Raw genomic sequence first — 12,922 nt, 5'->3', positions numbered from 1 at the left:
TGTGAAACATGGTTGATGCAAGTCAGAAGGTATATGTTTGGCTCTTTTTTTCCCATCTCTAAGCATTATAATATGTGATAACCCTTTAAGTTCAATTTAAAAGTATATTAGCATTCTGGCAGAAGGTCACATTGGGCAGTCTGCATTTCTGCTAAAGAAGCATTGAGAGGGACCTTTTATTTTTTTCTTCTGTAGACTTATAAACATGAACAACAAGTTCCTTGTGCCTAAACTTCTAAGAACATCCTCTAGTTCTTCAGATCAGTATCATAGGGCCTCTTTCACTGGGAGAAGGGATCTTGTGGGAGAGAAGTATTATAGTCAACATATATTTATAAGAAGAAATGTGCACTAAAGTTCAGGCTCATTATTAAAAAGTAAATGGATATGATTTTCCCCAGTTTTCAAACCTAAATGTGTATTCACAAGTAAAGAGTTACTACTCCCTTTTAAGGTTTTGTTTAAAGTATTAGCAAAAAAAAGGAAAAAAGTTATTTCAACTAGGTTATAACTTTAACTACATTTTAATAATGAAGGAATGGTTTAATGACATTTCCTGGTTCAAATTACATGTATTCCTAGATGGTGGTAATTAGAATCTTAGCTGACTTTCTTAGATGTTTATACCCTTGACACTTAGGTGAGTTTTGCATTTCTTTTAAAATAAGGATTTGGTGAGTGAAAAGTTGAAGACCCAACAGATGAACAATGATCTCGAAAAATTAACTCATGAGCTTGAGAAGATAGGGTTAAATAAGGAGCGACTCTTACATGATGAACAAAGTACTGATGACAGGTGAGTACTAAGTCTACTTGGCAAACAGTTGAAAATTTTTTTTTTTTTTTGCTCATACATGAATTCTTTCTGTACTAGCTATAGAAAACATTTATATATTTCACCCTATTTCTGGTTCCTTCCTTCCCTTAAGGAAAGTTCTGTAGCCGGGTGCGGTGGCTCACACCTATAATCCCAGCACTTTGGGAGGCTGAAGCGGGCGGATCACCTGAGGTCGGGAGTTCGAGATCAGCCTGACCAACATGGGGAAACCCTGTCTTTACTAAAAATACAAAAAAAATTAGCTGGGCATGGTGGTGCATGCCTGTAATTCCAGCTACTCAGGACGCTGAGGCAGGAGAATTGCTTGAACTTGGGAGGCTGAGGTTGCGGTGAGCTGAGATCGTGCCGTTGCACTCCAGCCTGGGCAACAAGAGCGAAACTCCATCTCAAAAAGAAAAAAAAAGAAAGTTCTGTAAGGAGAAAAGAGGAATCATAGACAATCTAATATAGATATAAGAAAACAAAAAACTAAAATGTTACTATATAAATACAGTTATAAAATAGGAAAACAGGATGCCACCCAGGTAGCAGAAGATCAGAGGCTATAATTGACTGTAAAAACAGAATAAGACATTAACAACAAACAAAAATAAGCAAGTTATTTTTTATTTGAATCATGTGCTTAAATATCTCTGTTCTTTATTTGCCAAAATGTTGACTTAAAGATAAATGGAGGAAAAGTATGAAACAAAGGAAAAGAAAAGCAACTGAGGTATAAAAATAATGTGGAAAACTAAAGCCTTAAAAGCTGGATAAAAAATTAACTTCTATGCCTTTTAATTTTAAAAATGATCAATATAGGTTTAAAAAAATATGTATTCTCTCATGGTAATTACAATCTATCAAACAGAGTTAATCTGATTTTCAAGTCTATTATTTAGCATCCAGTCAGCTCCATGAATCCAGCTGGAATAGAAGTTGTATATTGTTAAGAATATTATTTTATGTAGACTAGATTTTCATTCAGTTTTTGTAATTATATAATTTATATTTTATCTACTCATTATTACTGTTCCAGTATTTATATTCTGTATTAAATGTATATTGGGAGAATTAATGGTGATTACATAGGATTTGTTCATGTAATTTTCAGAATGTTCAAAGTAAATAGGATAGATTGACACTTAAAAAGTTAGTTGTGTAATAACAAAAAGATATAATTTGAGGCATTTATTCTAGCAATCAGTTCAAGTCAAGCAATGATTATTGAATTAATTGTACAGATATTTCATGAGGAAATATTTTTATTTGAGTTAATCAGATAAGTGCAGATTTCGTTGACTGTCTTTTAATATAGATACTGAATATGCATCCCCTCTTTATTCAAACAGATTTATTACCTACTATATGTAAGACACTGTACTGCATGTTGTTTGCAAAAGAAAAAGTAGAATACACCCTGTAGTGCTACTTGACCCTATTATAAATTTATGAACCCAGCTCTGGGTGGACCCTTCATACAGTTTGCCTCCTCTTCCCAAACCTTAATTCATACAGTTAGCCAATGTTAATTGAGCTCTTCTTATCTGCTGATCATCTAGCATCAAAGTAGTAATAATGTTTCAACTGAATCTTAAAAAATGACAGAGGTTTACAAGGTGGGAACAGTGGGAAAGGGCATTCCATGTAGACAAAAGCATTTGTATAAAAGCACAAAAGTATGCTGAGCAATTTTTAGAGTATATGAAAGATGGATTACAAAAAGGATGAATTTGGAAGCACAGAGACAGGATAGGAAGTGATTATAATAGTCTAGGCAACATGTGATGCCATTCATTATTTCCACATATTTATTTACATAATGAATTAGGCATGGAGATAAGGGTATATGTTGAACTAAAGCTTTTTGGAAATAGAAAGTGGCTTGAACTACTAAACTAGCTTCTTTCTCAGCCAGGAAGTTAGTCTTTATGTCACAAAAAAAACCCAGAAACTCACAGACATAAATTCCTTTAATGTGCCATTCCCTCCACCTTGGGATTTATGTATATCAGTCTCAAATGATGCCCCTAATTCCTATTAATCTAAGTTTCCCGTCTTTCTTTTTTTTGAGTCGGAGTTTTGCTCTTGTCACCCAGGTTGGAGTGCAGTGGCACAATCTCGGCTCACTGCAACCTCCGCCTCCGAGGTTCAAGTGATTCTCCTGCCTGAGCCTCCCAAGTAGCTGGGATTACAGGCACGCACCACCATGCCTGGCTAATTTTGTATTTTTACTGGCCAGGCTGGTCTCGAACTCCTGACCCCAGGATCCACCCACCTTGTCCTCTGAAAGTGCTGGTATTACAGACATGAGCCACCGTGCCCGGCCTAACTGTCCCATCTTTCTAATTCATGTTATTCTCTCTGAATTTATTTGAAGGTACAATTATTATTAAGATACTTATTCTTGCCATCAAGGAATATATAGTTTTGGAATCGAATGTATAAGTAAATAAATTTAAAAGCAACGAAATAAATTTAGTAGGCCGGGCACGGTGGCTCATGCCTGTAATCCCGGCACTTTGGGAGGCTGAGGCAGGCGGATCACTTGAGGTCAGGAGTTCAAGACCAGCCTGGCCATCATGGTGAAACCCTGTCTCTACTACAAATACAAAAAATTAGCCAGGCGTGGTGGTGCACACCTGTAATCCCAGCTACTCAGGAGGCCGAGAAACAAGAATCACTTGAGCCTGAGAGGCAGAGATTGCAGTGAGCTGAGATTGCGCCACTGCACTCCAGCCTGGGCAACAGAGTGAGACTCTGTCTCTAAATAAATAAAGTGGTAGAGTTGTAAACAGAGGTGATCACTCTTGTCTTTTCTCTTTTAATACCTGTTTGATGTCTTCTGTCTTCTCTTTCAATATGGTTGTTTACAGGATTATGTTTTCAGGCCTCTTATCCATTCATTCTGTATGCTGAGCATTCCCATACATCATCTCACCTGAGATCCTTTTTTTTCTCTGTTTACTGTATGTTTCTATCAGGATAGACCAGAAGCAACTCAGACGTCACCAATTCAACATACCCAAAATCAGACGCAGTAAATGATTTTTAAATGTTTGTTGACTCCAGCCGATACCAAAGTGAATGAGATTTGTTCTCTGTATTCAATGACATTAAAATCTGATTGAGAAGAAAATATTTACATAAAAATTAATTCCAGTAAAAGAATGTGGTGAAACTCTCATATACATACTTTAGGTTTTTATTTAGTGTTGTCTTCAGGGTCTTCAGGTTTAAGAAATGGATCATAAATAGTGGTTTATGATACACTGAATTGTGTTCATATACCATCCTTTTTGTGAAAAAAGTATTTATTAATAATTATTCATTTATCTACCATTCAGAAAGATAATTGCAATACTGACAGTCACATCCATCACCCTCTTGCCACTCTGTCACGAGTATCCTGTGCCATAAGTATGTCATTTTTTTTACTGTAACTACTCTGTACCCTGAGATAAGGAGTCTTCATTGCCGGGCGCGGTGGCTCATGTCTGTAATCCCAGCACTTTGGGAGGCCGAGGTGGGTGGATCACCTGAGGTCGGGAGTTCGAGACCAGCCTGATCAACATGGTGAAACCCCATCTCTACTAAAAATACAAAATTAGCTGGGCGTGGTGGCACATGCCTGTAATCCCAGCTACTAGGGAGGCTGAGGCAGGAGAATCGCTTGAACACGGGAAGCGGAGGTTGCGGTGAGCCGAGATTATGCCATTGCACTCCAGCCTGGGCTACAAGAGCAAAACTCCATCTCAAAACAAAACAAAACAAAACAAAACAAAACAAAACAAAACAAAGGAGTCTTCATTAATAAAAAGGATATTTTGGGACTTTGGTCTTCCGGGTTCCTTGAGAATTAATTATTGCTTTTGATAATCTAAGCCATAATCCGGAGCTCTGTTCACTCAATGATTTTGTTGCTTCATTACCAGGATTAGTTTTAAAGGGAGAATGGGGCAGTAAGAAGAGGATAATTTCATTTGCCTCTTTAACAAAAATGCTTTTATAAGACCCATTTATGGCATGAATATTTGTGGTCATAAATTATCTTTAAAAATAATTTTCTGACCTCCAATAATGAACTACATTACTTTGTACTTGGATAGTAGGTATAAACTTTTGGAATCAAAATTAGAATCCACTCTTAAGAAGTCTCTTGAAATAAAAGAAGAAAAAATTGCTGCTTTAGAAGCTCGATTAGAAGAATCCACGAATTATAACCAGCAATTGCGCCAAGAACTTAAAACAGTAAGTGATTTTCTTGGAAAGAATTTTAAGGATCATTTATTATATAAATATTTGGACAGAAAAATATAAAGTAGAAAATAAAAATATAAACATTTTATTGATATTTAGTCTATTTCTTCCTTTTTCATAAACTTGAGAATATTCTTAAACAGATCTCTGTCATATGAATATGGTATAGCTTATTCAGTGCTATTTCATGTGTGTAATATTCCTGCCTGCTGTTAGGGATATATCAGAAGTGTGTGGGTGGAATGAGGAAGAGGCAGGCTTATTTTATTGGGAAAAGCTCTCATTGTGATACTGACATTTCACTCTGTCACTCTTTCCTATCGAGGATCCAGGGGAAATTCTGCTAAGCAAAATATGAGTGTGAGTATACCAAGTTAGAGGAAAATCATATGTGTGTTATATAAGACAGCACCTGATCTCATAAATTTGATGTCTTTTCTAGATCTGTTTTCCTTGTGATATTTGAAAGTATTCAGTGAAGTAAGTAAGCAAGGCAGAGGCAACTGTTTATTTTCCCTAAGGAAGTAAATCAAAATATAAGGGACTTTCCCATTCCACAGGGCTAGTAGATGGTAGATTGGTAGAGTCATGTTCTGGTTTATTCACCCTTTTATCATCTCTGCAGTGCCACCAGGAGTGGTCTCAAGGTTAACTAAACACTTAGACTGATAAGATTACTGTAGGCTACATTTAGAATCGCTGTACTCAGAACACTATAAGAAATACAAATAGATAGCAGGGCAGTGTCAGTCCATCCTCTTCACGTAGTTGTCTGAGAATCATCTTCCCACCAGATGGTTTTGGTATAAGATGAGATTCACACTGGGTGTGTGCGGGAGCTTTCCTGGCTTTGAATCCGTATACTCATAGCAGTCATTACCTCTTGCAGCAACTCCAAAGGTATGGATTTACGATTCCCACAGTGCACATACCAATCAATTATGAGAGTTGCTGTACTCAGAGAAGTTCAGAGATAGGGCTGTCTATTGGTCTTTAAAGTTCTCCTAAATAGTCATTTTTTTCAATAAGCAATATTATCTAGTAACATAGAATGTTCCAGTTTTTTTCCACTATTTGCTGACACCATTATTGCTGCTATTTGTCACAGACATTGCCATCGAACATACATTGTTACAGAATAAGTTTTACTTATTTTTCATCCAGACATTCTCAGAGCCAGAGAATAAATTTTAGAACTGTGTCTGGTTAACTAAAGGGATTATTAAGAACAAAACAAAACAAAACAAAAAAAACACATTAACCTGCTTGTTGTCCTGAATTTTTTACCCCATTAGCAGTATCACTGAGTTGCAAATAAAATCAATTTCATGAAGCTACTCAACCAGAAAATTAGTGGGTTTGGGTGTGAGTTGCATACGTGTGTTTCAAGTAGATATTTAAAATGCCATCATTAGGCTGGGTGCGGTGGCTCACGCCTGTAATCCCAGCACTTTGGGAGGCCGAGGCAGGCAGATCTTTTTAGGTTGGGAGTTCAAGACCAGCCTTGCTGACATGGTGAAACCCTGTCTCTACTAAAAATACAAAAATTAGCCAGCCAGGCGTGGTGGCGGGCACCTGTAATCCCAGCCAGCTACCCAGGAGGCTGAGGCAGGAGAATCGCTTGAATCCAGGAGGTAGAGGTTGCAGTGAGCTGACATCCTGCCACTGCACTCCAGTCTGGGTGACAGAGTGAGACCCTGTCTCAAAAAAAGCCATCATTGACTTCCACTTTCAGCTATTTGGACATAACTGTTATGGACTAGCTTCCTGCTATGTATTCAACTGAATTTATATTGTTATAAACTTTTAATACTATATGTGAAGAGGTATTCACTTTAAGGTAGACTGTGAAAGTTAAATACGAATAGTATAAGGGTTAAAGTAACCACTAAATTAGTATGACAAAGAGGTATAGGTAATATGACCAAAAAAGGGAGATAAAATGGACTCATAAAAAAATAAATCCAGGCTAGGCACAGTGGCTTATCTCTGTAATCCCAGCACTTTGGAAGGCTGAGGTCGGCAAGTTCGCTTGAGCGCAGGGGTTTGAGACCAGCCTGGGCAACATAGGGAGATCCTGTCTCTTAAAAAAATCCAAAAGGCAAAAAAAAAAAGAAGAAACAGGGAAGAAAGTACAGATTGGACAAATAGAAAACAAATAGTAAGATGGCAGTTTTAAACCAAAGTATGGCAATAACTATATTAGATATAAAAGGTCTAAACACCCCAGTTAAAAGACAGAGATTAATAAATTAGACAAAAAGATAAGACCCATCTATATGCTACCTATCAGAAATCTTGATGGAAAATGATATATCATTCCAGCACTCATCAAAAAATTGCTAGATTGGCTATATTAATGTTAGACAAAGTAAATTTTAGTGCAGTAAATAGCATCAGAGCTAAGTAGTTCATTGCATAATTATAAAGGGGTCATTCCAGCACAAAGATAACAAGGTTAAATGTTTATGCACCTAATAACAGAGATACACCTAGTAACAGAGCTGCAAAATACATGAAGCAAATATCTGTAGAACTACATGGAGAAAAATCCACAATTACAGTAAGAGAGTTCAATACTCATCTCTCAATAATTGGAGAATAAGTAGAAAGAACTTCATCTACCAGATAAAGGGCTTCTATAAACAGCCTATAGACTAATCACTTTCCCCCTTTAATCAGGAAGAATACAAAGATTTTGCTCTCACTGTTTCTATTAAATGCTGTACTGGTGATCCTAACCAGTATACTAAGATAAGAAGAAATGAAAGGCATACAGATTTGAAAGGAAGAAGTAAAAATGTCTTTCTTCACCTGTGACATGACTATATTTACAGAAAACCCTGAGGAATTCACAGAAAAATCTCTACAGCTAAGGTGAACTAATCAATGTCACAGGATAAAAGTCAATATATAAAAACCTATTTTATTTCTCTACATTAGCAATGAAAGATTGAAAAATGAAATTAAAAAACACCATTTATAATACTATGAAATACTTATGGATGAATTTAAGGAAATGTGTGCAAGAACTCTGTACTAGAAACACCAAAGGAAATACCTCAGTAAATGGAGATAAGAACCATGTTCATGAATTAGAAGACTCAATATTGTTAAAATGGCAGATTTCCCCAGATTGATCTCTTGATTCAACATAATCCCAATTAAAATCCCAACAGGCAGATTAACGAGATGATTCTAAAATTTATATGGAAATATTGATCAAATATTGGTGCAAATTGGGAGCAACTGGAACTGTCATGCATACTGATGCAAATATAAGGTGTTATAACTAATTTAGCAGGCAGTATGGCAGTATCTCAAAAAGTCCTGGCCCATGGCCAGGCATGGTAGCTCTTGCCTGTAATCCCAGCACTTTGGGAGGCTGAGGCAGGTGTATCACTTGAGGCCAGGAGTTCAAGACGAGCCTGGCCAACATGGTGAAATGCTGTCTCTACTAAAAATACAAAAATTAGCTGGGCGTGGTGGCGCACACCTGTAGTCCCAGCTACTCAGGAGACTGAGCCACGAGAATCACTTGAACCCAGGAGGTGGAGGTTGTGGTGAACTGAAATTGCACCACTGCACTCCAGCCTGGGCGACAGAGCGAGACTCCATCTCAAAAAAAAAAGAAAAAGAAGGTGATAATGCTACTTCTCTTTACTCAAGGAAAATGAAAACATAGATAAATGAATTTTTATAACAACTTCATTCATCATCATAAAAACTGGATATAATGACCAAAAGAAAAAAATTACTGATGCACTCAACACATGGTTAAAGCTTAGAAATATACTCAGAAACACACACACATACACACAGATTATATATACTGTGATCATATTTGTGTGAAATTTTAGTATAAGCAGAATTTTTGTGAAAGAAATGAAAACAGTGGTTGCTTAGTGCAGTGATCTTTCTAGAGTGATGGAAGTGTTCTGTCATGTTGATATATGGGTTATATAGGTGTTTGCCATTCTCAAAACTACCGAATTACACTTAAAATCTGTACATTAGCAACTTCATGCAAATTATAACTCTGTTTTTAAAGATGACATTATCTTTGGGAACTTGAAAATTTGAATTCATAACATAATTTACAATATTTTAAATTTTAATTAAACTTTGACAATTTTTTAATTAGCTCTAAATTACTTTGTTACAGTGATTTATCTTTAGACTCTGAATATAAAGATTTTGATTAATGATACATAAAGTAATCATTTTTAATACTTACTTGAAAGAACAATGGGTTTAAAATGAGAAGCCTTCGGCTGGGCGCAGTGGCTCAACGCCTGTAATCCCAGCACTTTGGGAGGCCAAGGTGGGTGGATAGCTTGAGGTCAGGAGTTCGAGACCAGCATGGGCAACATGGTGAAACCTCGTCTCTACTAAAAATACAAAACTTAGCCAGGCATGGTGGCACACACCTGTAATCCCAGCTACTCGGGAGACTGAGGCAGGAGAATGGTTTGAACCTGGGTGGCGGAGGTTGCAGGGTGCCAAGATCGCATCACTGCACTCCAGCCTGGGTGACAGAGTGAGACTATGTCTCAAAAAAATATATAAAATGAAAGGATTCGAGTTTTATTCTCAGCTCCCCTTTCTTAATAACTGCATATATTTATAGCCTTTCTAAGCCTAGAATAAGGACCTCATGGGAAATTCATGTAAAATAGAGACTAGAAATGATGCCACTCATCTATTGTTATTAGTGTGTTAAAAGTAAAAACAAAACAAACAAAACCCGGAAACTAGGATCATAGGGTACCCCTTAGATTTCTTGAGAAACTTGACATTACATTCTATCTTGGCATCTTTTTAGTCTCACCTCATTATTTTCTAACTCATTGGTAGCAATATTAATTGTTGAGTCATAGGCTTTCTTAAGTTGTACATTAGATGTTGAACTATAAAACATTTCTATCCCTGCCTTAATACAAAGGTTGGGGTTAACTTAAAATTTATTATAAGAATCTCCTAGGGTAAACTAGTGCTTCAAGATAGTTTAATAATTCAAGATAAGAATAGTAATATTAAATTTAAGTTGAAGAGAAAGAGTTATTAAGTTAAATCTGGCAAATTTGGTCATGTATGATGAGCAAGTTAATAGCAATCCAAGGATATATCTTATCCAGGATTTTCTAGTGTGATTGTAATCTACTTTAAGAGAGCCAACTCAGAACTAAAAAATCCTGAATACGATATATCCTTAAAATTAATAAAGTGTCAAATCTTTGTGCTTTACGTAGGCATCTCTGTGAAATTTCTAACCTGGTTATAGATAGCTGTAAAAAGAATTGTTAGTCATTAGCAACATATCTATATCCACTGTTAATCCAGGGGCATTTGCACGACAAACGATAGGATTTGACATGACTATTACTCTGGCACATAAGTAGAGTATGTTTTATATTTCTAGGAGGAAAGGATTTACATTTTAAAAAGCATAAATCATACATATTATTCATCACATTTAAAAGTAAATTGCCTTTCGTATTCACCAGATCAGCCCAGAGTCAAATTAATTGAGAGAAATGTAACTGTGGTGATTTTTTTCTCCCCATTAAAATATTTTAAATAAAATTTTAGGTGAAAAAAAATTATGAAGCTCTCAAACAGAGACAAGATGAGGAAAGGATGGTACAGAGCTCTCCTCCAATATCTGGTGAAGACAACAAATGGGAGCGAGAAAGTCAAGAAACGACTAGAGAACTTCTGAAAGTTAAAGACAGATTAATTGAAGTAGAAAGAAATGTAAGTATTTTTAAATTTTAGTAGAAATAGTTTTTTTTAGAAATAGAGGATCACTGGATATATTTATCTTAGATACATTTTCTAATATTTAAACAATTGATGGCACTTAATAAGAAAATTCTAGTCATATAGTCCTTTTTCTATTTGTTCCTACCTAAGGGGACTTTCTTTTTGCTTCTCCTGCCTGGAACATATGACTGGCTTCCCTCAGCATTTGGGTAGCATATCATATGTCCTGCAGAAGGTCTTCTCTGACTTCTTCCCCCAGTAAAGTTGTTATTCCTGACTTAAACTATTCACTATTGTTCCACTGCTTTAGTTTTTTCATAGCACTTTTCACAGTGAAATTAAATTTTGTATTCATTTATGAAAGCAGGTAATTCGTCTTTCTTTTTATTACCACCGTGCCTTTACTATCTAGAATAGTGCCTGGTAGGTAGTAGACACTTAACAAATATTTGCTAAATTAGTTCAATATATACTTGACAGTAAACAACAAGCAAACAAACTGAACAACAAATACTTACCCTTCAAAAGATGAATAAACTTAAGGAACTTACACAATAACAAGTAAAATAGTTGTGGTGGTGGTTTTTTTTTTTTTAATTTAACACAAAAATAGTACCTTTAATTAAAAACTAAGCAATAAAACCAAAAATTAATCCCCACACCATGATTTCTACTTTCTCATTCAAAAAGAATCACTATAAACAGTTTATCTTCCTAGAAAATTTTCTTGTCATTTATCTGTATGTAGAAGTATATTTCTTTAACAAATTTATACCTGTGGGATCATGCTATACAAAATTCCTATTTGCATTTTCAGTTAATATTATATTGGAGATGTCTCAATTTTAGCAGATGTATATGTATTTCATTTTAATGACTACCTATTATTCCATAGTGTGAATGTTACCATAATTTACTTAAATAAATCTCACATTTCTGGACATTTAGGTTTTTTTGGTTTTTTTTTGAGACGGAGTCTCACTTTGTCGCCCAGGAATTGAATGCAGTGGCGTGATCTCGGCTCACTGCCAGCTCTGCCTCCCAGGTTCACCCCATTCTCCTGCCTCAGCCTCCCGAGTAGCTGGGACTACAGGCGCCTGCCACCACGCCTGGCTAATTTTTTGTATTTTTAGTAGAGACAGTTTTCACCATGCTTGTCAGGATGGTCTCAATCTCCTGACCTCATGATCCGCCCACCTTGGCATCCCAAAGTGCTGGGATTACAGGCATGAGCCACCGCGCCCCACCCATTTAGGTTATTTTTAAACATGTTCATAGAATGCTAAATTCCTGACAGTGAAATTGCAAGGCCAAAGGATATATACGTGTGTGTGTGTGTATTTAATTGATTTTTTCTACTAGTCTTTAAAAATCCCATCTATTATCTTTTTTTTTTTTTTTTTCTTCTCTGAGACAGGGTCTCACTCATCTCCCAGGCTGGAATGCAGTGGCGAGATCATAGCTCACTGAAGCCTCATCCTCCCAGGCTCAAGTGATCCTCTTGCCTCAGCCTCCCAACTAGCTGGGAGCACAGGTGCACACCACCACACCCAGCGAATTTTTGTATTTTTTGTAGAGATGGGGTCTCACTATGTTGCCCAGACTGGTCTCGAACTCCTGGCCGCAAGTGATCTGCTCTCTTCAGCCTCCTGAAGTGCTGGGATTGCAGGTGTGAGTCACCACACCCAACCTAAAAATCACATCAATTTTCAGTCCCACTAAGAGAGTATACCTATCTTTCCATATTAACATTGGATAGTACCTAGTGCTTTAATTTTTCTTAAAGCAATAGGAGAAAATATTTTCATGTGCACATTTAAAATTATGAGTTAGGTATTACACATCTTTCATATATTTATTGGCCATTTATAAATGCCTATTTTTAATCAGTGATATATATACCTATATTGCTTGGATTCATAATTACATTTTAGAAAATTGAGCTGGCATATAAAGTTCTGTAAGGTGAATCTTTTTTTCTTGTAGACTTCCTTTATAAATTCTCATTGGAAAAAAATTACTTCATATCATATTTTAGATAATGGGGTTATAAAGACGGTTAGCCATATAATAGGCTGG

The 12,922-nt window shown here is 36.1% G+C and overlaps 1 protein-coding gene and 1 long non-coding RNA gene across 5 annotated transcripts in view; one reads left to right on the top strand and one right to left on the bottom strand.

Moving 5' to 3' along the window:
* The window catches only part of CCDC88A (coiled-coil domain containing 88A), a 132,015-nt gene that overhangs the window by 86,495 nt on the left and 32,598 nt on the right, over positions 1-12,922 (top strand). For 2 of the 4 annotated variants that reach the window (NM_001254943.2, NM_001135597.2), the window contains exons 16-18: positions 669-796; positions 4,930-5,068; positions 10,670-10,834. In NM_001254943.2, the coding sequence (NP_001241872.1) occupies positions 669-796; positions 4,930-5,068; positions 10,670-10,834 (432 nt within the window). Of the gene's footprint in view, positions 1-668; positions 797-4,926; positions 5,069-10,669; positions 10,835-12,922 lie in introns of all 4 variants that reach the window. The other 2 variants (NM_018084.5, NM_001365480.1) reach the window with 1 other exon arrangement.
* The window catches only part of LOC124907768 (uncharacterized), a 31,478-nt gene that overhangs the window by 6,948 nt on the left and 11,608 nt on the right, over positions 1-12,922 (bottom strand). The gene's annotated exons all lie outside the window — the stretch shown is intronic.

This window comes from Homo sapiens, chromosome 2, assembly GCF_000001405.40.
Source record: "Homo sapiens chromosome 2, GRCh38.p14 Primary Assembly".
Taxonomy (NCBI): Eukaryota; Metazoa; Chordata; class Mammalia; order Primates; family Hominidae; genus Homo; species Homo sapiens.
This window is presented reverse-complemented; position numbering and strand designations above follow the sequence as displayed.